Here is a 26649-nt window from a genome sequence, read left to right as displayed (position 1 = left end):
CCTTTGTTATGTGGCTGGAATTATGTAGGCAATTGCTTGAAACATCTTTTCATTATAGAGTTGCCATAAATTTAAGTGTATTTACATCAAGAAAATGTTTTCACTGTCTTGACTTCTTTGTTCATATTGTTTTAACTCTAGGCTTATTGTTGACTCATTGCAAGTTGATTTGTAACAGAGAAAAAAAATAACTTGAGCTTCTTTTTTATTGATCATCTGTACAACAATCAAATCTATGAGTCCAGAAAAGTCATTAATTTCTTTGGAGCTCAGTTTCTCTTAACATTAACGGAGATTGGACTAGCCTAATCTCAAGAATCAGTTCCCTTTACAAAGTTATCTGTACAAATTACCAAATATATAGCATGCTTATTTACATCCTACATAGAAATAATTTCTTCCAATGTTTGTTGTAAATAAGGCGCAAGACCTTCTTGCAGTATCCGTATGCTAGCATGATTTTTTAAGAATATCAACAGTCCTGTGACTTTGCTCTCTGCTTGCATAAAAAAGTTGTTCACCTTTCTTGCTCTTTGTACTGTACTCTTTCACCTCTAGTGAATCAGAAAGAAGGAAGTTAAGATGTCTGGACTGCTTAAAAAAAACTCATCCCTGAGAGAGCCACTCTGTGTTTTGCTGAGGTTGTTGATTCAAAAGCTGGGTGGAGGGACTGTCAGATTAGAGGACTAGCCAATAATGCACTGTGACTGGGATGCAGGAAAGGAACAATGGCACATTTAGGACTAGCCAATACTGCATTATGACTGGGATGCAGGAAAGGAACAATGGCACATTTATCTTCAGGGCTGCAAACATGTTGCCTCTCAGCTGCCGGAGGTTATTCAAGAGACACCATCTGTATTAGACTGTTTTCTCACTGCTGTGAAGAATACCTGAGACTGGGTGATTTATAAGCAAAAGAGGTTTGACTCACAGTTCTGCATGACTGGGAAGGCCTCAGGAAACTTACAGTCATGGCAGAAGGGGAAGGGGAAGCAAGGCAAATCTTACATGGCAGAAGGAGAGAGAGAGAGAGTGCAGGGGAAATTGCCCCTTTTAAGCCATCAGATCTCATGAGAACTCCCTCACTATCATGAGAACAGTATGGGGGAAACTGACCCCATGATCCAATCACCTCCCAGCGGGTCTCTCCCTCAACATGTGAGGATTACAATTCAAGAGGAGATTTGGTGGTGACACAGAGCCAAACCATATCACCATCTGTAGAAGAAGTAGCAGTTAACAGTATCCACTGACTGTGTCTGGAGGCCTTGGCTGGCACCACACAAACCAAACAGAAGATGGCTACTGGCAATGGTTTAATTATGTGACCTAGTTGCCCTCCAGACCTCCCAAGTCCTTGAGATGATATTGACTATAAACAAACACTAATACACCCTGTGTGGACATGCAAAGCTGTCCTTTAGACTTCTGCTAGTTCTGTCGAGGTTCAGAGTCTCAGGATGTCTTTTGCCTTCGAGTGTATCCTTCCAAGCCTGCTTTCTCTGTTCCCCACAGCACTGACCCACCTGTGAATCACCAAGCCAGGTCTTGCTCACAAACACATACACTATCGAAACCAAAAACAATTTAAAAAAAAACATAATGAAAGCATCTAAAACTGTGATGACTGTTATTGAATAAATGGAGGTAGAAAATACTAGGTGGGGAATATTCACTATTTCAGCAACACAACCACCTTGAACTTGCTGAGAAAATGCTCCTGTGCTTAAATGTTCTGCCAGTCCCCCCGTCAGAGGTTCCTGGCTGATTATGTGTCTCCAGAGAGGCCAAAGCCTCTTGCCATTTTGCAAGATACATTTGCCCCCTTCTTCCTGCTCTGTCTCCTGATCTCTTCTTTTCCACTTCAGCTAAGGAGGGAGCCTCCAATTTTCTCTCATTGGTCTCAAGTAGCTTAGTTTTATTTGGTCATTTTAATTGCTTGAGTTTTTGTTAAAATTCATTCTCTCAAAGCACTGGATCAAAAGTCTAACTACATGGATTTTTAATGAATAATACAGTTTCCCAGGCTTCATTCCCACTCCCCTTCACCATGTACTCCACAGAAATTCTAGTTCAGTTTATGGGAGTAGTATTCAGGAATCTGAATTTTCAATAGTCATATAGAACTGATGTATGGGACCTGTGGGCCACACACTGAGAAACTGCGCTTTAGAGTCTCATTTTTCTCCCTGAGAAGAATATAAGGAATTTCATTAAAAATCGCTGCCTTTTAGAAGAAAACAAAGTGAAAAAAGTTTCTTGAGATTGCTCTGGGCAACAATTTTTTTGATATGGCCCCCAAAGTACAGGCAGCAAAAGCAAAAATAGACAAATGAGATTGTACCAAATTTAAAAGCTTCTTTCTGTACAGCAAAGGAAACAACCAGCAGAGTTGTTTCCTGCAAAATGGGAAAAAACCTGCAAAATGTGAAAAAATATTGACTATTTATACATCTGATGAGGAGGTAATATCCAAAAATATGTAAAAACTCAACTCAATAGCAAAAAAATAATGACAATAACCCAGTTTAAAAATAAACAAAGGAACCTGCATAGACATTTCTCAAAAGAAGACGTACAAATAGCTACCAGGCATATTTTTTAGAAGTTGACATTACTAGTCATCATGGAAATGTAAATCAAAACCACAATGTTACCTTCCAGTCATTAAAATGACTATCATCAAAAATACAGAAGGTAAGTGTTGACAAGGATGTGTTAAAAAAGGAAACCCTTGTATGCTGTTGGTGGAGATGTAAATTGATACAGTCATTTTGGAAAACGGTATGGAGGTTCACAAAAAGATTTAAAATAGACATCTCATATGATCCAACAATTCCACTTCTGGATATATATCTAAAGGAAATACAATCAGTATCTCAAAAATATATATGCATTCCTATGTTCATTGAAATGTTATTTAAAATAACCAAGATATGGAATCAATCTGTGTTAAACAACAAATAAATGGATAAAGAAATGTAATATACACACACACACATACACACACTCATGTGTTACTTAACAATGTGGATAAATTCTGAGAAATATGTCCTCAGGCAATTTCACTGTCGTGCAAACATTGCAGGATATACTTACACAAACCTAGATGGCATAGCCTACCACATATCTAGGACATATGGCATGACCTATTGCTCCTAGGCTATAAATCTGTCCAACATGTTACCATACAGAATACTGTAGGCAATTGTAACACAATGGTAATTATTTGTATATCCAAACATATCTAAACCTGGAAAAGGTATATTAAAAATACTGTATCAAAATCTCATAATCTTCGGGGACCACCATTGCATATGTGGTCCATTATTGATAGAAATGTCTCAAGGAGCACATAATTGTGTGTGTGTGTGAGCGCGTGTGCTCATCCTCCTGTAGACTAGGTTGGACTCATTCACTTGGTAGCAGAATTCCAAGAACAGGAATATGGCAAACACCATGAAAAGGTGCATGTCAAGTCTCTAGGCATCATGCCTACTTCCATCCCACTGTCCAAAGCAAGTATTATGACCAAGCTCAAAGTCAGTGTAAAACGAAGGACCTGAACAAATTGAGGCCAATAGCCCTCAATCTACTATAGAAGGGATATTAAAAATAAAAAAAATTTGGATGATATTTTCTCACTGCATCAACCATAAAGTTACCATATGTCTAGATTTTTTCAAGATGTTCTGGTTTTATAAATTCTATTTTTAATGAGTATGGTTTATTAAATGCATTGCTAATATACATTAATCTTACGTATTTATTTGTAGATACATTTAAAAATAGTATTTTTTCAGTTTAATTATTTATATTCAGATTGAAGAACGTTACTACTGTCATTATTCACTCTTCAAAACTGTGTTTCTAACCTACCACCTGATAGACATTAACATGGCACTTCATTATGGAAGGCTGTGTCATTACAAGGGTATTTCTCAATCCAAAACTGATAAGGATGGCTAATCCAATTAGCAACTAATGTCTTTAAGATACAAAAGCCATAATCCTTTTCAGCAGCACATGGGCTCTCAAGCTTAGGGTTATAATAACTGCTATTGAAAAAGTATCTTTCTGACTTTTCCTCTTAAAAAAGGCCCTTACTAAGTCAAAACTTATTTATTATTATTATTGTTTTTTTTTTTTTTGCTGTAACTCCTACTCATTTAACTATGTAAAGTCAAAATTCATTTTCCCTTAACCTTATTCTGCCATGTTTCAGTGAATTCAGAAGACAAGCACAAGTGGACCACAGAAGGCTTTGTGTGCCTTTAACCTGGAAGAACAGACACCACAGCAAAATCTCCTTATCAGAAACTAGTCTATCCAGGACCCTTCTGAAAATTAGGAAATCATTTAAAGAAAGAGACATAAGGAGAACCTTTGGTCATGCCACTTTCTTGTCCCTGGATAAGATCAGATGATATTCTTGTCTAATCAAAATGCTGTTAGGTGGATTAACTTCTCTTGCCCAAACCCAAGAGAAGGATTTGGCCTGCATGGAAGCAAAACATGTGGGCTCTCCAGAACAGCAGTCATAAAATCCCCAAATAGGGAAGAAATGTCTCAAGAGAAAGTAAGAGACTGCCTTTCATTTTGAAGAATGATCCATTTGGTGCCCTCACCTTCCTTGGGGTGGTTTACTTTATTCCAAGAATGTGAGAAGGCTCTGACATGGGCACTGCTAATGTCTCTTTAGGATCAAGGTGGGTTTTGTCCTGGCCACAGAAATCCTTTTCTCATGATTAAATATAGCTAAATCTATTTTTAAATATTAGTTTAATGTTACTATGTCTTAATGACAAACCTTGGCTTGTTCCTAAAATACATTATTAGATATGGAAATTTTACCTAGTGATTTTGGAACAGAAATTCAGCATAACCAATTCCTCATTCTAAAATTTGGTCACTTTTAAATACCTTTTTCTCTTGCATAAAGAGAGCTTTCCATTTGAAGGCTGGGAATAAGTGTCTATGGATGAATTGAATTTTAGAACTAACAAGAATGCTAATAAGATATATGCATTGTGTTGCAACAGATTTGTATTTTATTGGGCAATATATCAATAAACTTCTTCATTTCTTAGTGTGTTGGATGAAATAAAAAGAAGAGAAAAGAAAAGCAGTATATAAAAGCGTAATGAATGCAAAGACCTTCAAAGTGTCACTTAGACTAAAAGAAAAAGCTCATTCTACTGATGGAATATGCAGGAGTAAAGCTATTAGCACTTAAAATTCTCTGGCCTGGTGATCATCTGTACTTGCATAGCTCTTTCTCATTTTCCTGATCAGTCTTTGCTATTTTTGTTTATCACTGAATCATATTTAGTTTCTTTCCTTTGCAGTTGATCATAGCAAAGGGGCTTCTGTTTAATCCCCCACAATACCCATTGCCCTGGAAGAGAACTTTAATATTCTACACTATTTACTTTTACTTTGTTATATATATAATCATTTGTTATACGGACTTAACTTTATAGACAGTTAGTTTTAGGATTCAGGCACTTTTCTCAAAATTATATCAAAGCACCATATTTTAAAAAATTTTACCCCAATGCTTTAAAGAAATATTTCTATTTTAAATTAATGACCTTAAAAATAGCATACCTCAAGAGGGAAAAACAAGTACTTAAACTGTACAATCTTCCATTGAGATTTTTTTCCCCAGAGGAGTGGTAGAATTCAGAATACACTCATCAAATGTCAACTTCAGAGAAATGACAAAAAAATAAAATTTCTCCCCAATAAAATGACACTAATTATACATTCTTAGGCAAAAAAGAGAAATAGAAATCCTCTGTATGTCTCAAGGTACACAATCAGAATTACACAGAGATGGTCACACCCTACACACACACACACACACAAACACAAACACACACACTTGATTCTAAATAATACTGGTGATTGATGTCTGGAGGTGAAAGAAAATGGTGAGAAGGAGGTTTCTCATATCAAGATGGACATTAGAAAGCACACAGTGGCCCCATTTAGAGAGGAGATTAATACTTTTAATATGCTATTTTAATATTTTAATAGTCATATTTTAACATGCTATTCCAAAAAAAAATTTTACTCACCCTCATTCTCTCTTTCCTTAGTCATAATAATGAGAAAGGAGAAAATAATTCAGTCTGTGAGTGAGATGGTATTTCACACGTTAGTGTTTCACATAGATGGAATGCCCAACAGCAGGAAACTGTCTATCACCGAGCTGGACTCTGAGGCCCTCCCATCACCTGTGCCTTTGAGGCTGACTGCAGACACTTGAGGGATGCATAAATTACCCCATAAGTTGGTAGGGAAGGGAAAAGACCTCAAGGGTAGAAGCTTAGGGAGCCATCACTCAGATACAGAAATCCCATCATTACAGTATGCTCTCATTAGCCCTGGACAAACCCCAGCAGGGTTGGCCTTCTAGATTCTCTGAGCAATCAGAAATCTAAAAAGTCCTTCCCCTCTTATATAAACCACTCAGACTGGTCCTGGGAAGGGAGGATGCAAGTGCATGACTGTCATTAATCTTGTTATTTTTAGCTCTTGCAGAAATTGATGCAAAGGGACTAATACCACAGAAATTCAATGTTTGTAAGTAAAGTTTGGGGTTCCAGTGAGTTTTCTTCTGCAACTTACCTTAGGATTTTTGGAAAGAGTCTGTAAGGACTATGAAAGCTTTTAGTATATAAACAATTAAAATTTTTAGAAAGACCTCGTTTCAGAGTCTGAAGACATGTTTCTTTTTATAACTATCCCTTAATGGGATAGTTATAGTTGTATAACTATGAGCAAATTGTTTCTATTGCTCATCAGTAAAATGGGGAAAATAATATCATATCTATATATTATCACATAATATAAAGAAAAAGCCCTCTGAAAAGTGCACATGTAAGTTATATTTATCTGTTAAAGGTAAAGTACTGATCCAAACATTAAAGAGATTCAGAAGTGTAAGATCCCATCCCAAACCCTCAGGTCAAAATAAACAGGTAAAGAATTTATTGGAAAAGGAGATAATAGAAATATAAAATGAGAAGTAAAAGATCAAGGATGGAATTGACCCTCTGAATCTAAGAGACACCTAAATAGGTCACTGATTCTTAAACTTGCCTTTAGGCTCAAATACTAATAATGCATTTTTATGGGTTGAACTGTGACCTCCCAAAAAACTTATATGTTGGCATCCTATCCCTCAGTACCTCAGAATTTGTATTTGGACATAGGGCTATCAGAGTTCTTATAGGAGGAAATTAAGACACAGTCACGCACAAAGGCCATCTGAAAAAAATAAAACAAACAGAAGGTGGCCATCTTCAAGCCAAGGAGAAAGGTCCCTACAGTAACCAATTCAGCTAACACGTTGGTCTTAGTCTTCAAAATTGTAAGAAAATCAATTTTTGTGGTTTAAGTCACCCAATATGTGGTACTTTGTATCTCAACCCTAACAAAGTAATATGGCATTCAAAATAATTTCTATCCATTAATTTAACAAATATTTATTGAGCATTTATCATCCGTAGGTATGGAGTTAATGTTAAAAAATTCAGCAAATACAGATCCTGTCAGGCCTCTGAGCCCAAGTCAAGCCATCACATCCCCTGTGACTTGCACGTATATACCCAGATGGCCTGAAGTAACTGAAGAATCACAAAAGAAGTGAAAATGCCCTGCCCCGCCTTAACTGATGACATTCCACCACAAAAGAAGTGAAAATGGCTGGTCCTTGCCTTAAGTGATGACATTACCTTGTGAAAGTCCTTTCCCTGGCTCATCCTGGCTCAAAAAGCTCCCCCACTGAGCACCTTGCAACCCCCCACTCCTACCCACCCGAGAACAAATCCCCTTTGACTGTAATTTTCCTTTATCTACCCAAATCCTATAAAACATCCCCACTCTTATCTCCCTTCACTGACTCTCTTTTCAGACTCAGCCCACCTGCACCCAGGTGATTAAAAGCTTTATTGCTCACACAAAGCCTGTTTGGTGGTCTCTTCACACAGATGCAAGTGAAATTTGGTGCCATGACTAGGATCGGGGGACCTCCCTTGGCAGATCAATCCCCTGTCCTCCTGCTCTTTGCTCCATGAAAAAGATCCACCTACAAGCTCGGGTCCTCAGACCCACCAGCCCAAGGAACATCTCACCAATTTTAAATAGGGTAAGTGGCCTATTCTTACTGTCTTCTCCAACCTCTCTCACTATCCCTCAACCACTTTCTCCTTTCAATCTTGGCACCACCCTTCAATCTCTCCCTTCTCTTAATTTCAATTCCTTTCATTTTCTGGTAGAGACAAAGGAGACAGGTTTTATCTGTGGACCCAAAACTCCAGCGCCGGTCATGGACTCAGGAAGGCAGCCTTCTCTTGGTGTTTAATCATTGCAGGGATACCTCTCTGATTATTCATCTACGTTTCAGAGGTGTCTGACCATACAGGGATGCCTGCCTTGGTCCTTCACCCTTAGCGGCAAGTCCCGCTTTTCTGGGGGGAGGGGCAAAAACCCTGACCCCTTCTCTCCCTGTCTCTACCCCTTCTCTGCTTTTCTGGAGGGAAAGAACCCCCCAGCCCCTTATTTCTGTGCCCCAACCTCTTATCTCTGTGCCCCAACCCCTTATTTCCACTCCTCAACACCTTTCCCACTTTTCTGGAGGGTAAGAACCCCCAAACCCCTTCTCTCTGTGTCTCTACTCTCTCTCTGGGCTTGCCTCCTTCACTATGGGCAAGCTTCCACCCTCCACTCCTCCATCTTCTCCCTTAGCCTGTGTTCTCAAGAACTTAAAACCTCTTCAACTCACACTGACCTAAAACCTAAATGCCTTATTTTCTTCTACAATGCCACTTGACCCCAATACAAACTAGACAGTGGTTCCAAATAGCCAAAAAGTTGCATTTTCGATTTTTCCATCCTACAAGATCTAGATAATTCTCATCATAAAATGGGCAAACGGTCTGAGGTGCCTGACATCCAGGCATTCTTTTACACATTGTTCCCTTCCTAGTCTCTGTTCCCAATGCGACTCGTCCCAAATCCTCCTTCCTTCCCTCCCGCCTATCCCCTCAGTCTCAACCCCAAGCGTCGCTGAGTCTTTCTAATCTTCTTTTTCTACAGACCCATCTGACCTCTCCCCTCCTTGCCAGGCTGAGCCAGGTCTCAATTATTCCTCAGCCTCGGCTCCCCCACCCTATAATCCTGTTATCACCTCCCCTCCTCACACCTGGTCCAGCTTACAGTTTCATTCCTTGACTAGCTTTCCCCCACCTGCCCAGAAATTTCCTCTTAAAAAGGTGGCTGGAGCTAAAGGCATAGTCAAGGTTAATTCTCCTTTTTCTTTATCCAACCTCTCCCAAAATCAGTTAGTGTTTAGGCTCTTTTCATCAAATATGAAAAACCCAGCCCAGTTCATGGCTCATTTGGCAGCAACCCTGAGACGCTTTACAGCCCTAGACCCTGAAAGGTCAGAAGGCCGTCTTATTCTCAATATGCATTTTATTTTATTACCTAATCTGTTCCCGACATGAAATAAAGCTCCAAAAATTAAATTCCGGCCCTCAAACCCCACAACAGGACTTAATTAACCTCACCTTCAAGGTGTACAATAATAGAGGCAGCCAAGTAGCAATGTATTTCTGAGTTGCAATTCCTTGCCTCCACTGTGAGAGAAACCCCAGCTACATCTCCAGCACACAAGAACTCCAAACACCTGAACCGCAGCTGCCAGGGGTTCCTCCAGAACCTCCTCCCCCTGGAGCTTGCTACAAGTGCCAGAAATCTGGCCACTGGGCCAAGGAATGCCCACAGCCCGGGATTTCTCCTAAGCTGTGTCCCATCTGTGCAGGACCCCACTGAAAATCGGACTGTTCAACTCACCTGGCAGCCACTTCCAGAGCCCCTGGAACTCTGGCCCAAGGCTCTCTGACTGACTCCTTCCCAGATCTTCTCGGTTTAGCAGCTGAAGACTGACACTGCCCGATCGCCTCAGAGGCCTACAGGGCCATCACAGATGCTCTAGGTAACTCTCAAAGTGGAAGGTAAGTCCGTCCCCTTGTTAACCAATACGGAGGCTACCCACTCCACATTACCTTCTTTTCAAGGGCCTGTTTCCCTTGCCTCCATACCTATTGTGGGTATTGACGGCCAGGCTTCTAAACCTCTTAAAACTCCCCAACTCTGGTGCCAACTTAGGCAATACCTTTTAAGCACTTCTTTTTAGTTATCCCCACCTGCCCTGTTCCCCTATCAGGCCGAGACACTTTAACTAAATTATCTGCTTCTCTGACTATTCCTGGGGTACAGCCTCACCTCATTGCCACCTTTTCCCCCAGTTCAAAGCCTTCTTCACATCCTCCCCTTGTATCTCCCCACCTTAGCCCACAAGTATAAGATACCTCTACTCCCTCCTTGGCGACCGATCATGCACCCCTTTCCATCTCATTAAAAGCTAATCACCCTTACCCTGCTCAATGCTAATATCCCATCCCACAGCACGCTTTAAAAGGATTAAATTCTGTTATCACTCACCTGTTATAGTATGGCCTTTTAAAGGCTATAAACTCTCCTTACAATTCCCCCCAATTTACCTGTCCTAAAACCAGAAAAGACTTACAGGTTAGTTCAGTATCTGCGCCTTATCAACCAAATTGTTTTCAGCCTTTCTGTCCAAACAGCTTGACCTTACTGTTTTAGCCTAGCCCTCATGTCTGCGTGCAGCAGCTGCTGCTGCTTTAATACTTTTGGGGGCCCTAAAAATCACGAACTATGCTCAACTCACTCTCTACATTTCTCATAACTTCCAAAATCTATTTTCTTCCTCATATCTGACACATATACTTTCTGCTCCCCCACTTCTTCAGCTATACTCACTCTTTATTAAGTCTCCCACAATTACCATTGTTCCTGGCACGGACTTCAATCTGGCCTCCCACATTATTCTGGATACCACACCTGACACTCATGACTTTATCTCTCTGATCCACCTGACACTCACCCCATTTCCCCATATTTCCTTCTTTCCTGTTCCTCACCCTGATCACATTTAGTTTATTGATGGCAGTTCCACCAGGCCTAATCGCCACTCACCAGCAAAGGCAGGCTATGCTATAGTATCTTCCACATCTATCATTGAGGCTACCACTCTGCCCCCAGCCCCACTACCTCTCAGCAAGCCGAACTAGTTGCCTTAATTCAAGCCCTCACTCTTGCAAAAGGATTACGTGTCAATATTTATAGTGACTCTAAATACGCCTTTCATATTCTGCGCCAGCATGCTGTTATATAGGCTGAAAGAGGTTTCCTCACTATGCAAGGGTCCTCCATCATTAATGCCTTTTTAATAAAAGCTCTGCTCAAGGCCGCTTTACTTCCAAAGGAAGATGGAGTCATTCACTGCAAAGGCCATCAAAAGGCATCAGATCCCATTGCTCTAGACAATGCTTATGCTGATAAGGTGGCTAGACAAGCAGCTAGCTTTCCAACTTGTGTCCCTCACACCAGTTTTTCTCCTTCACATCGGTCACTCCCACCTACTCCCCTGCTGAAACTTCCACCTATCAATCTCTTCCCACACAAGGCAAATGGTTCTTAGACCAAGGAAAATATCTCCTTCCAGCCTCACAGGCCCATTCTATTCTGTCGTCATTTCATAACCTCTTCCATGTAGGTTAAAAGCTGCTAGCCCCTCTCTTAGAACCTCTCATTTCCTTTCCATCATGGAAACCTATCCTCAAGGAGACCACTTCTCAGTGTTCCATCTGCTATTCTACTACCCCTCAGGGATTGTTCAGGCCCCCTCCCTTCCCTACACATCAAACTCGGGGATTTGCCCCTGCCCAGGACTGGCAAATTGACTTTACTCACATGCCCCAAAACTAAAATATCTGTTCGTCTGGGTAGACACTTTCACTGGATGGGTAGAGGCCTTTCCCACAGAGTCTGAGAAGGCCACCGCAGTCATTTCTTCCCTTCTGTCAGACACAATTCCTCGGTTTGGCCTTCCCACCTCTATACAATCTGATAACGGACCAGCCTTTACTAGTCAAATCACCCAAGCAGTTTCTCAGGCTCTTGGTATTCAGTGGAACCTTCATATCCCTTACCGTCCTCAATCTTCAGGAAAGGTAGAATGGACTAATGGTCTTTTAAAGACACACCTCACCAAGCTCAGCCTCCAACTTAAAAAGGATTGGACAGTACTTTTACCTCTTGCCCTTTTCAGAATTAGATCCTATCCTCGAGATGCTACAGGGTACAGTCCATTTGAACTTTTATATGGACGCCCTTTCTTGGTTGGCCCCAACCTCATCCCAGACACCAGCCCTCTAGGCGACTATCTTCCAGTCCTCCAACAGGCTAGACAGGAAATTCGCCAGGCTGCTAATCTTCTCTTTCCTACTCCAGATCCCCAGCCACATGAAGACACCCTAGCTGGACGATCAGTTCTTGTTAAGAATCTGACCCCTCAAACTCTACAACCTCGATGGACTGGACCCTACTTAGTTATCTGTAGTACCCCAACTGCTGTCTGCCTGCAGGATCCTCCCCACTGGGTTCACCATTCCAGAATAAAGCTGTGTCCATTGGACAGCCAGCCTAATCTCTCCTCTTCCTCCTGGAAGTCTCAAGTACTCTCCCCTACTTCCCTTAAACTCACTCATATTCATGAAAAACAGTAATAACCCTTATGAGCCTAACACATTCCTTCATTCTATTAGGTCTGTTCGTCCTTACCCTACTTTTTGTAACAGGGCTTTACGAAGTCACCCCCACCACTTAGGCCGAGCCCCAAAAAGCTAGTCATCCCTGCTATCTTCTGTCTGGTCATACTCCTATTCTCCATTCTCAACTACTTATAAATGCTTTACTCTTGTTTACTCTGCCCAGATGGCCTGAAGTAACTGAAGAATCACAAAAGAAGTGAAAATGCCCTGCCCCGCCTTAACTGATGACATTCCACCACAAAAGAAGTGAAAACAGCCGGTCCTTGCCTTAAGTGATGACATTACCTTGTGAAAGTCCTTTTCCTGGCTTATCCTGGCTCAAAATGCTCCCCCACTGAGCACCTTGTGACCCCCACTCCTGCCCACCAGAGAACAAATCCCCTTTGACTGTAATTTTCCTTTATCTACCCAAATCCTATAAAACAGCCCCACCCTTATCTCCCTTTGCTGACTCTCTTTTCAGACTCAGTCTGCCTGAACCCAGGTGATTAAAAGGTTTATTGCTCACACAAAGCCTGTTTGGTAGTCTCTTCACAGGGACGCAAGTGAAAGATCCAGTTTCTGCCCTCATTTTTAATATGCTTTTATATTTTAATAAAATGTTAAATAATTTTATAATATTTTAAATAATTTTTATAAGTTTATAATCTAATGGTGGAGACAAACATTATCCTATCATACACAGAAATGTAAAATTGCAATTGTGGTGTCTGGTGCTATGATGGTGTAAAACAGAAAGACGTACCTAGGAAGGTCAAGGAAAGCCTTCAGATGAAGAAACCCTTAGTCACAGACATGAGCTAGGAATTTTTTGGGCAGCAAGGGGAGAATGCTAAACAGGCTTCTGGCTTCCTCCCTGACCTCCACTTGAGTCTTTTCCCAAAAGTTCCCAGAACGATCCATTGAAAGCATGTGGCAGAGACATTTTATAAGTTCAGTAAACTGCTACATTTTCCTTCTGATCACACAGGAAAACTATTCTGCAGCTTTCATTGAATTTCACTGGGACCATCAGATTAGTTTTTTTCATGGAATGTGAGAAGAGATGTACACAAGAGTTGCCCGAAGTGTGGGGATAACAGAAAAATGAACTCAAACTACTTGTTACTGGTCTATGGTAATATAAAAACATATTTGCACCAGCATTTCTCTCCTCCATGTCATTAAGAGCACTGGTTTGACTATTTAAAAAAATTATTTACCAACAGTTTTGGTTTTTTAGAAAAATTAATTAAGATTTTACAGAGAGTTCCCATGTACCCCATACTCATTTTCCCTATGTTTAACATCTTATGATCATATGGTACTTTTGATACAATTAATTAATCAATATTGATACATTATTATTACTGAAAGTCTGTAATTTTATAAGCTAAGGAAATTTCAGATTTCCTTATTTTTTGTTTTAATGTCCTTTTTATTTGTTCCAGGATCCCATGAAGGATATCACTTTGTATTTATTAAATAGTCATGCTTCCTAAAGCTCCTCTTGCTGTGAGAGTTTCTCAGACTTTCCTCAAGATGACCTGGACAGTTTTGAGGAGTGCTGGTGAATATTTTGTAGAAAGTCTCTCTATTTTGATTTTCTAATGTTTTACTCATTATTAGACTGTGATTGTGTTTTTGGGAGAAAGATCACAGAGGTAAAGTACCATTTTTAACACATTGTATGAAGAGTGCATGCTGACAACGTGGTTTCTCTGTTGAAGCTTACCTCAATCACTTGGCTTTGATCATTTTGTAAGGTTTCTCCACTGTAAACTTATTCTTTTCCCCTTTTCTACATTGGAGTCTTTGGAAGAAATCACTATGTGCAGCCCACATTAAACAGAGGAGGGTTGTGTGCTGCTTCCTTCAGGGTAGAGTATCTACATAAATCAATTAGAATACTTTGCATGGGAGATAAGTCTCTTCTTCCACATATATTTACTCAAGCATTTATTTATATTACCATGGACTCACAGATGTCTATTTTATACTTTGAATTACAATCTAACAATATTTTTATTATGTGTGTATTCATTATTTTATTAATTATTTATGTATCGCTTTATTTTATCACTGAAAAAGGGGTGTTGTCATCTTTAATTACAATACTGGGTTTCTCTGTTCTCCTTTCAGTTCTATGAGTTTCGACCTCATGTATTTTGACATGTGTGTTAGGTGCATATCCATTTAGAATTCTTATGTCTTCTTGGAGAATTTATCCCTTTACCATCATGCAGTGCTTCTTTTTTCTCTAATAATTTTTTCCCAAACATCTTTTTGATTTTAAATTAATATAGCTATTCCAGATTCATTTTGATTAATGTCAGCATGGTATATCTTTATCTATTCCTTTACATTTAACCTATCTATGTCTTTGTATTTAAAGTGGGCTTCTTGCAGACCACATATAGCTGAGTTTTATTTTCTTATCTCTGTCTTTTAATTAGTGTATTTAGACATTTCATGTTTAATGTCATCATCTATATAGTTTGATTAATATCTATTGCATATGTGACTATTTTCTATTTGTTGCTTTTACTCTTTCTCTATCTTCTTTAGTTTTAATTTAGTATTTCATATTACTCTATTTTATTTTCTCTCTTATCGTATCAATTACAATTCTTTTTTGTTTATTTTAGTGGTTGCCCTAGAGCTTCTGATACACATTTTCAACTAATAAGTTCTCCCTCAAATAACACTGTGCCACTTTATATAAAGTACATACCTTATAGAAGAGTACTCCAATTCTTCTGTCCTTCTCAGAGACAGTCTGTGTCTTGCACCCTTTTCAGCTCTAATACACTGTTACTATACTGGAGCCTTTTTGGTGTACTGGTAAGGATGGTAGTGGGGGGGGAGAAAGAATGTTCTATAATCTTATGATTGAACAGTCGTTTAGTGGCCTTCTATGCTGTATACAAGCTATGAGTTTCCAACTGTTTCTCCTGTTGTATAGCTTTTGTATTTCCCCACTTTGGTGAGACAGGAAGGCTAGAGGGAGCTGGATTCTAATGAGTGCCTTTCTCCAAGCTGACCTAAGACTCTGGTAAAATCTTCTTCCCTGCAGAGTAAGTCTTCATTATGGAGAACACTCTGGACTTATTTCACAGTAGTTACTCTCCTCACATCATCACCCTTTCCCTCAAACCGTGAGGAAATATTACTTCGATATTCATTCCGAAAACATGTTGAAGTTTCCAGGGGTAAAGCCACAAAATTGTGGGAGTTCCCCTAAGACTGTGACTCTTCCAAACCCCATATGTTCTCACTTCCACACTAGTTCACACTCAGCTCCCAGCAATTTGACAAAATTACCATATTGGTGCTCTTACTAGTTTATGGCTCCAGTGGCTTCCATTTCAGGTATGCAGATCTTAGCTGTGACTCCTCAGATATACCTGCCTTTCCAGATTTTGGGGTGCCAGTTTGCTTTTCAACCCCAGTTCTCTGATCGGCCAAAAAAAAAGTTGTTGATTTTTAAATTGCTCAAGTACATTTTTGGTGTAAAGAAGGGGATGATGAATTCCAAGCTCTTTATATTTCAGACTGACTTTTTTGAAACACAACTTTCTTGAGAAGGGAAGCAATATTTAGATTTATATTCTGGTGCAAGCTCCTTATATTGCTACAGACAGTCATTGATATACACAGCTTCCAGGCTTGTCCCATAAAATCTATTGAACAGGATGTAGAAATAAACTAATATAATGTAATATATATATATATAACAATGCAAATAAATATAAAGAATCCTTATCTGTTTGCTGTATATATTATTTGCTAATTTTCCCAGAAATACATTGATGATTAAAACATAAGTCAGAAATATTTAATTTGGGGGAAGATTGACTGGGGGAGAAGGAGAAGCAATGGTAAATAATGTAAAGGTCTGGAACAATGGACACTCATAAGGAGTGACAGTGGCCAGAAGAAACAAGAAGAAAGACCATTGCACATAACCTTCACTACTTCTAAAATATATCACATTCCCCCTTTAAGGGCTGACACTGTGAGGTTCCCGTGCTAACAGAACACTCTACATGAAGATAGCTTTCCATGAACTAAAGATTTCATTCATTCATTCATGCTTTCTTTCTTTCATTCATAGTGTTGTCCAGGGAAGTTTCTGGATAAACTACTAAACTATTAATTCTTACAGTTTAAAATTTCTTTGAAATAACTATGTTACTTTGTTCACAATTAAATATAAAACCATGCAGCCAGCTTATCTTTGTAAATGAATGTCTTTGAATCCAAGGAGAGACTAAAGGCAGTAGCCAAAGCAAACTTCCTGCTCCAGCTTTCTGGCAGGCCAGCTCTTCATGAACCACAGCCAGTTTTTCCAAACCTCCCCATCTATTCAGCACTATTTCTCCTCTTTTTACTTCATCTTCTCCTGATGATCTGGTTTTTCATAATCCATGAGCTAGCTACTTCCATCCCTACTATAGCTACTTAAGTATTCATGTCACTAACCTGACCAGAATCCATTCCCTCCTTCATTCGAATTATTTTATTATAAATAATTTACTCCAAGTCTCATCTCCTATCTAAGACCTCTAGGTATGTCCCAGCCCATAATAATAGCAAACAATAATTGGTCACATACTCTGCGCTGAAAATTACATGTTTTAATAGATTTAATTTTCACAGTAGCACTAATAGTTATTATTATCTATATTTGACAGATAAGAAAACTGAGACAGAGGGAGGTTAAGATAGAGGCCATACAATGCCATCTCCATCAAGCTACCAATGACTCTCTTCACAGAATTGGAAAAAACTACTTTAAAGTTCATATGGAAACAAAAAAGAGCCCACATTGCCAAGACAATCCTAAGCAAAAAGAACAAAGCTAGAGGCATCACACTACCTGACTTCATACTATACTACAAGGCTACAGTAACCAAAACAGCATGGTACTGGTACCAAAACAGATATATAGACCAATGGAACAGAACAGAGGCCTCAGAAATAACACCACACATCTACAACCATCTGATCTTTGACAAACCTGACAAAAACAAGAAATGGGGAAAAGATTCCCTATTTAATAAATGGTGCTGGGAAAACTGGCTAGCCATATGTAGAAAACTGAAATTGGATCCCTTCCTTACACCTTATTCAAAAGTTAATTCAAGATGGAATAAAGACTTAAATGTTTGACCTAAAATTGTAAAAAACCCTAGAAGAAAACCTAGCCAATACCATTCAGGACATAGGCATGGGCAAAGGCTTCATAACTAAAACACCAAAAGCAATGGCAACAAAAGCTAAAATAGACAAATGGGATCTAATTAAACTAAAGAGCTTCTGCACAGCAAAAGAAGCTACCATCAGAGTGAACAAGCAACCTACAGAATGGGAGAAAATGTTTGCAATCTACTCATCTGACAAAGGGCTAATATCCAGAATCCACAAAGAACTTAAACAAATTTACAAGAAAAAAACAACCCCATCAAAACGTGGGCAAAGGTTATGAACAGACACTCTGAAAAGAAAACATTTATGCAGCCAACAGACACATGAAAAAATGTTCATCACTGGCCATCAGAGAAATGCAAATCAAAAGCTTAATGAGATACCATCTCATGCCAGTTAGAATGGCAATATTAAAAAGTCAGGAAACAACAGATGCTGGAGAGGATGTGGAGAAATAGGAACGCTTTTACATTGTTGGTGGGAGTCTACATTAGTTCAACCATTGTGGAAGACAGTGTGGCGATTCCTCAAGGATCTAGGACTAGAAATACCATTTGACCCAGCGATCCCATTATTGGGTATATACCCAAAGGGTTATAGATCATGCTACTATAAAGACACATGTACATGTATGTTTATTGCAGCACTATTCACAATGGCAAAGACTTGGAACCAACCCAAATGTCCATCAATGATAGACTGGATTAAGAAAATGTGGCACATATACACCATGGAATACTATGCAGCCATAAAAAAGGATGAGTTCATGTCCTTTGCAGGGACATGGATGAAGCTGGAAACCATCATTCTCAGCAAACTATCACAAGGACAGAAAACCAAACACTGCATGTTGTCAGTCATAGGTAGGAATTGAACAATGAGAACACTTGGACGCAGGGCAGGGAACATCACACACTAGGGCCTGTCGTGGGGTGGGGGGCTGGGGGAGAGATAGCATTAGGAGAAATACCTAATGTAAATGATGAGTTGATGGGTGCAGCAAACCAACATGTCACATGTATACCTATGTAACAAACCTGCACGTCGTGTACATGTACCCTAGAACTTAAAGGATAATAATAATAATTAATGATAATAATAATAATAATGAAAGAGTGAGGCCATAGAGTTAGTGGATGGTGCAACCAGGGTTTAAAATCTGGATAGTCTAGTTGCAGGGTGCCTGCATTTAGCCCCTGTCTAATACTGGCTGTCACCATACTGATTTCTTATTTCATCTTTACTGTCAGTAATATATTTAATTATTTAAGTGTTATTGGACTCATGTATAAGTGTCTCACCTCATAAAACATAGTCAGTGCCAAGACTGAGACAGTGTTTTATAATTTCTGTATCTTTTAGAATATGTAATACAGAACAAAGCACAGAGTAACTACTAAATAAATACATTTTGAATGATTAATTATTCTTGTCCTGATCTATTGAACTTCTGATCATTTAAGCAAGTAATCAAACAAACAACATGATTTATATGTTGTAATATTATTTTCTGTATGAACCTAAAATAGATGTTTTTGCATATTTTCTAGGCATCAGAAAAGTATCACTTGGACAACAGAGCAACAACGATCACAATAAAAACACATCAGCATCCATAATTACAGCTAAAAAAGAAAATATACAGAAGGTTCCAGTATTCCTCCTCTTGCCTCTGAAGGGCCATTGTTGAGTACAGTCAGAGATCCCTCTTATTCCTCAAACGCAATTTTATTCTTCCCTTCATATATGCCACATGTGACTCAACTGAGTGAGTCATGCTTAGGTGTTTTGTTAAGACATCAGACATCAGACTCACAGAGACTCAGGACAGCGTCCAGCCATGAGTTACAACTTCTGCTCTGTGTGCGAATTTGGCCACAGAGATTGGAAACCTCAGGACCCTTAGACTTCCGTTTTCCCACTTAAAAATAGAGTTCATAAGCTACCCTACCTAGCTCATGGGCCAGCAATGAGGAATGTAAGAACATGTGTGTTTAAATATGTTGGAAATTGTTTAAAGCATTAAACAATGCCAAGAAATAGCTGAAGGAGTGAAGACACATTTCTTCTTAAGTGTGAAGCTCTAAAATAACCACAGAGACCCACACTGCACAGTCTGTCTTTATGTTATCAGGTGGTCTCCAACACAGAGGTCCCTATCTGTAACTAGCAGAGAACTTGTTACCTCCTGATCAAAAAGAGAGGACCTCATTTAAGAGGTTTTTTTTTGTAAGTTTATTTGTTTTTCTTGAAAATGAAAATTAAATGCAGACATATAAATGGAGAAATATTGCAAAAAAATACTTTCCCCAAACTCTGAGCTCTTCTTTCTTTGCCTCAAACCTTTATGAAATGTATAACAACTGTTTTTGTATATGTGAGTCACAAAATCTATGAAGGAAGCCCATAAAATCAGCACATTCTAGCTCCCTAACAAAAGTCCTCTAATCCCCAAATCCCAAAATCATTATTTTGCATAACAAATGAAGTCAATAGAGTTTTAATTATGTAAACTAGTGACTTGGAAGATGCTGACTTTCCTGGAATCTAATTCATTAGCTAATAAAACTTATCTAAATATGCACATATCCAGCATTTTCAGGAGGAGGAGGTGTTTAAATTTCAATTTAATAGGAAATGTAAATGTTGAAGCATACCTGATGTTATTATTAGTTTTCAGAAATGTCTGTTTTGAGATAATGCTGATCAGGCTCAGATGAAGAAATTTTTTATGGTCTAGAAATAGTAAGAGTTTCAAGGATAATTTCTACCCCACCTCTGCATTTTCTAAACCATATTGTCTGTAACACAGTGATTGACATGGCCATGAAAATAAAGCCTGGCTTTCATGCTGTAGGACAAAAAGGAATTGAACGCTCCAAAAGATTTTTAAATTTCATCTTTTGTTTGATAATTGCTGAAAGCTGTCTTTGTATGTGAATATCAAGGCCAAGTGGACATTTATTAAGGTTATTCAGGCCAATAAAATCAATATTGTGAGAAATAATGAATCAGTCAATGGTGTTGTGTCCTGTCTTTTGAACCTGAATTATTTGAATAACTGCTCCAATTCTCCACCTAGTAGCTGTTAGAACTTAGTCTAGTGAGACAGCAAAAGGGGGATGAAGGAGACTATTGGAGGATGAGATGTTACCTGAAAATGAAAATAGACAATATCATATTGTTTAATATTATTTTTGTATCCTGGTAGTTCTATATATATATATATATAAAATGTAATATATGGTATATATAATTATATTTTATATATCATATATTATATAACATAATATATATTTTATATAATATAGACATGCATATATATGTATAAATATATATATATATATATATATTTTTTTTTTGAGATGGAGTTTCACTCTTGTTGCCCAGGTTGGAGTGCAATGGCACGATCTCGGCTCACCACAACCTCAGCCCCCCAGGTTCAAGCGATTGTCCTGTCTCAGCCTCCCAAGTAGCTGGGATTACAGGCATGCACCACCACACCCGGCTAATTTTGTGTTTTTAGTAGAGGTGGGGTTTCACCACATTGGCCAGGCTGGTCTCAAAAGCCTGACCTTGTGATCCGCCTGCCTCCGCCTCCCAAAGTTCTGGGATTACAGGCATGAGCCACTGCTCCCAGCCACACATATATATTTTTACTATATATATATATATGATTAGGTTTCTGTGGAAAACTCTCTATAAAGAACTCTCTTGTCCTGATGGCTTCTTTTTTCAGAAAGTATTACCCAAGATTGTAAGATTCCTGTGTGGCCAAAACACTGGATTCTCAAAATGGCAGGCAATGGCTTCCCTGTGCCAGCCACCGTAGAAAGTAAGCCATACAAGCCAAGTTTCTCTACACACAAATGTAAAGGCCACAATTTAAGAATTTCATTGAGTACTCACATATATGCTTCGAATGATTTGTACATCTTTATTTTCAGATGTAAATATATTAGAATATGTTACTGGAGTTTATGCACAGTGGAGATCGGCATGGGTTGAAAGAAAGGAGTGCTTCCCTACAACATTCCCCATTAGTTTGTGGCTGAGCCCCACTAGCCAAGAAATTTAGGTCTCTTCATTACATGTGAGCATTTCAAAGTTTTCCACAGAGGAGTTCTTTATGTATACCTCTTCTTCTGGTTCCTTTCCTAGCCTTGCAGTGGTACAGTGAGTTTTGGTTGAAAAAAGTGAAGCAATTTTCTATCTGGAGCCCCTCACTCACGTACCCTATTCTCCTCATTATGACAATAAAAGAGGTTGTATTGAAGGCCACATATTTTCTAGGCTGAAGATGCTGTAGAAACCGTTCTCCTGGGGAAATGTCAGAAAACTTTTCACTGAAGATTATCACTAACTTTTACGCCTTCAGCAAAGGAAATGTTTACCCACCCACTACATACTTCCCATATTAAATTCAAGGCACCTTCACACTGAGAAGGAAAGGGAAGTAGTATAGAACATTTCTTTTTCAGTGATGCACTTTTATTCTTACTTTCTCGTAAAACAGACCTTGGGAATCGGGTAGGGAGACATTTAGAGTGTATTAATCTTAATAAGTCTTTCAATTTTCATTGAAAATAGCATACATATACAAAAAGTACACACATCACATTTAATTTTCAAGAGGTATTGATGGGATGTACCTCAAAATAATAAGAGCTATTTATGATGAACCCGCAGCCAATATCATACTGAATAGGCAAAAACTGGAAGCATTCCCTTTGAAAACTGGCACAAGACAGGGATGCCTTCTCTCACCACTCCTATTCAACATAGTGTTGGAAGTTCTGGCCAGGGCAATCAGGCAGGAGAAAGAAATAAAAGGTATTCTATTAGGAAAAGAGGGAGTCAAATTGTCCCTGTTTGCAGATGACATGATTGTACATTAAGAAAACCCCATTGTCTCAGCCCAAAATCTCCTTAAGCTGATAAGCAACTTCAGCAAAGTCTCAGGATACAAAATCAATGTGCAAAAATCACAAGCATTCTTATACACCAATAACAGACAAACAGAGAGCCAAATCATGGTGAACTCCCATTCACAATTGCTTCAAAGAGAACCACTGCTCAATGAAATAAAAGAGGACACAAATGGAAGAACATTCCATGCCCATGGATAGGAAGAATCAATATCATGAAAATGGCCATACTGCCCAAGGTAATTTATAGATTCAATGCCATCCCCATCAAGCTACCAATGACTTTCTTCACAGAATTGGAAAAAACTACTTTAAAGTTCCTATGGAAACAAAAAAGAGCCCACATTGCCAAGACAATCCTAAGCCAAAAGAACAAAGCTGGAGGCATCACGGTACCTGACTTCAAAGTATACTACAAGGTGACAGTAACCAAAACAGCATGGTACTGGTACCAAAACAGAGATATAGACCAATGGAACAGAACAGAGCCCTCAGAAATAATACCACACATCTACAACCATCTGATCTTTGACAAACCTGACAAAAACAAGAAATGGGGAAAAGATTCTCTATTTAATAAATGGTGCTGGGAAAACTGGCTAGCCATATGTAGAAAGCTGAAACTGGACCCCTTCCTTACACCTTATACAAAAATTAACTCAAGCTAGATTAAAGACTTAAATGTAGAACCCAAAACTACAAAACCCTAGAAGAAAACCTAAGCAATACCATTCAGGACATAGGCACGGGCAAGAACTTCATGTCTAAAACACGAAAAGCAATGGCAACAAAAGCCAAAATTGACAAATGGGATCTAATTAAACTAAAGAGCTTCTGCACAGCAAAAGAAACTACCATCAGAGTAAACAGGCAACCTACAGAATGGGAAAAAAGTTTTGCAATCTGCTCATCTGACAAAGGGCTAATATCCAGAATCTACAAAGAACTCAAACAAATTTACATGAAAAAAACAAACAACCCTATCAAAAAGTGGGTGAAGGATATGAACAGATACTCCTCAAAAGAAGACATTTATGCAGCCAACAGATGCATGAAAAAGTGCTCATCATCACTGGCCATCAGAGAAATGCAAATCAAAACTACAATGAGGTAACATCTCACACCAGTTAGAATGGCATTCATTAAAAAGTCAGGAAACAACAGGTGCTGGAGGGGATGTGGAGAAATAGGAACACTTTTACACTGTTGGTGGGACTGTAAACTGGTTTAACCATTGTGGAAGACAATGTGGCGATTCCTCAAGTATCTAGAACTAGAAATACCATTTGACCCAGCCATCCCATTACTGGGTATATACCCAAAGGATTATAAATCATGCTGCTATAAAGACACATGCACACATATGTTTATTGTGGCACTATTCACAATAGCAAAGACTTGGAACCAACCCAAATGTCCATCAGTGATAGATTAAGAAAATGTGACACATATACACCATGGAATACTAGCAGCCATAAAAAAGGATGAGTTCATGTCCTTTGTAGGGACATGAATGAAGCTGGAAACCATCATTCTCAGCAAATTATCGCAAGGACAAAAAACCAAACACTGCATGTTCTCACTCATAGATGGGAATTGAACAATGAGAACACTTGGACACAGGAAGGGGAACGTCACACACCAGGGCCTGACGTGGGGTAGGGGGAGTGGGGAGGGATAGCATTAGGAGATATATCTAATGTAAATGATGAGTTAATGGGTGCAGCACACCAACATGGCAGATGTATACATATGTAAAAAACCTGCACGTTGTGCACGTGTACCCTAGAACTTAAAGTATAATAAATAAAAAGAAAATACACAAATCATATTCAATGAAATTTCCAAAATGTGAACACAGTCATGTAATTAACACCCAGATCAGGAAACAAAATATCAACAGACTCCAGAAGGTGTACCTCCTAAGTCCCTTCTGGTTGCTAACTATCTTCTACTCCAACTAAAGGAGACCACTCATTTCTAATGGTATAGATTAATTTTTCCTCTTTTTGAGATTTATAAAAATGAATTCAACTTTGTCTGATCATTTATGTCTGGCTTCTTTCACTCAATAATATGTCTGAGAGGTAATCCACACTGTTGCATGTACTTGGAGTTTATTCATTTTGGTTGCTGTATGGTATTTCATTGTAGGAGTATATGACAATATACTTATCCATCCTATGCTTCATATCAATAATGTTATTGGTAATACTTTCTTGTGTGTGTGTGTGTTTTTTTGTTTGTTTGTTTTTTGTTTTTTTTTGAGATGGAGTCTCACTCTGTCGCCCAGGCTGGAGTGCAGTGGTGCAATCTTGGCTCACTGCAACCTCTGCCTCCTGAGTTCAAGTGATTCTCCTGCGTCAGCCTCCTGAGTAGCTGGGACTCTTAGGCGTGTGCCACCACACCTGGCTAATTTTTTTGTATTTTTAATAGAGATGGAGTTTCACTGTGTTAGCCGGTATGGACTCAATCTCCTGACCTCATGATCCGCCCACCTCAGCCTCCCAAAGTGCTGGATTAGACTTAAGCCACTGTGCCTGGCCATTGGTAATACTTAAATTACCTGTCTTTTGTTGGACATAAGCACTCATTTCTTTGGGGTTTATTTCTCAGGTAGATTTGCTCGATCATAGGATATGCAATGTGCAGCTTTAGTAGATATTATATAATGTTTCCTGAAGCAATTGTACCAATTTAAATTCTTACTAGCAAAGCAAGAGAGACCCAGTCACTCCATACTCATGCCAACAATTTGGTATTATCTCTCTTTTTTTAAAAAAAAAAATAGTTATGTTGAGTTTTTGTGTATGGCATTATGGTTTTAATTTGCATTTCCTCAAAATTAATTTTTGTGCTTTTGTCCATTTGGATATCCATTTTCCCTAGGTCCCTGTTCAAGCTTTTTGTCCATTTCTCCATTGGTTTGATTTTTAAATTAATTGGTAGAAATTATTTATTTATACATTCTGGCTATGAATCTTTTTTTTGACATATGCTTTATGATTATCTTCTCTCCTTCCTATGGAGTGTCTTTTCACTCTTGATGTCTTTTGAAAGTAGTTGTTTTTAATTTCTATGATTAGTAATTTTTTGTATTCTATTAAAAGAAATTTTGCCTACTACAAGGTCACAATGATGGTTTTGTAAATTTTTTTCTTCTAAAAACTTCATTGTTATTCTGTATTTATATCTGTAATCTGTCTCAAATTGAGCTTGTGAGGATATTGTGATCCACTCTGCTGAGGCTCATATTGATCCTGAGGGCATTGTAAAAACATTTTCATGTGAATTATGCTAATATTGATTACAGGTTCTTCTTTCCAGATTGAATTCCATGAACTCAATTGAATTCTATGATGAATTTTCCACAGAGCAAACCATTTTCAATCTTTTTTTTAATTTTAATTTTTAAAAACTCATGTCAATTTGGAATAAGTACGATTAAATTTTAAAATAACACCATAATTTACAGATATTTTTTCCTATGTTGTTACTTTTGCATTTGTCATTTTCATTATACCTAATTTCTCTTAATCAAATTTTTACAAATCTAAATTTTGACAAGAATATGTTTTGTTTCTGTGTTTTTTAGTAATAAATGTATGTGTGGATAGTTTTAATTATTGTCATTTTATATAGTATTTGTTTTGGAATTGGATAAATACTGTTTTGTTTATTAGCATAAGAAATATGGAATTTTTTTTTCTGCAAATAAAAGAAACAGAAAAGAATGGGGTATGGTTAAAAAGTAATGCCAAGGCAGGCAGATCACCTGAGGTTGGGAGTTCGAGATCAGCCTAACATGGAGAAAC

General features: G+C 38.4%; 1 long non-coding RNA gene across 1 annotated transcript in view, besides 1 other annotated feature; it reads right to left on the bottom strand.

Moving 5' to 3' along the window:
• Positions 1–26649, bottom strand: part of LINC00907 (long intergenic non-protein coding RNA 907) — a 504759-nt gene that overhangs the window by 125721 nt on the left and 352389 nt on the right. The window lies entirely within an intron of this gene.
• Positions 6128–6422: a silencer, noted in NCBI's record as "tiled region #1896; K562 Repressive non-DNase unmatched - State 24:Quies". NCBI's record gives its function as "represses a minimal TATA promoter and a strong SV40 promoter by Sharpr-MPRA in K562 cells {active_cell/tissue: K562}" and the evidence as "EXISTENCE:reporter gene assay evidence [ECO:0000049][PMID:27701403]".

The sequence above is a fragment of the Homo sapiens genome, chromosome 18 (assembly GCF_000001405.40).
Source record: "Homo sapiens chromosome 18, GRCh38.p14 Primary Assembly".
NCBI classification, from domain to species: Eukaryota; Metazoa; Chordata; class Mammalia; order Primates; family Hominidae; genus Homo; species Homo sapiens.
This window is presented reverse-complemented; position numbering and strand designations above follow the sequence as displayed.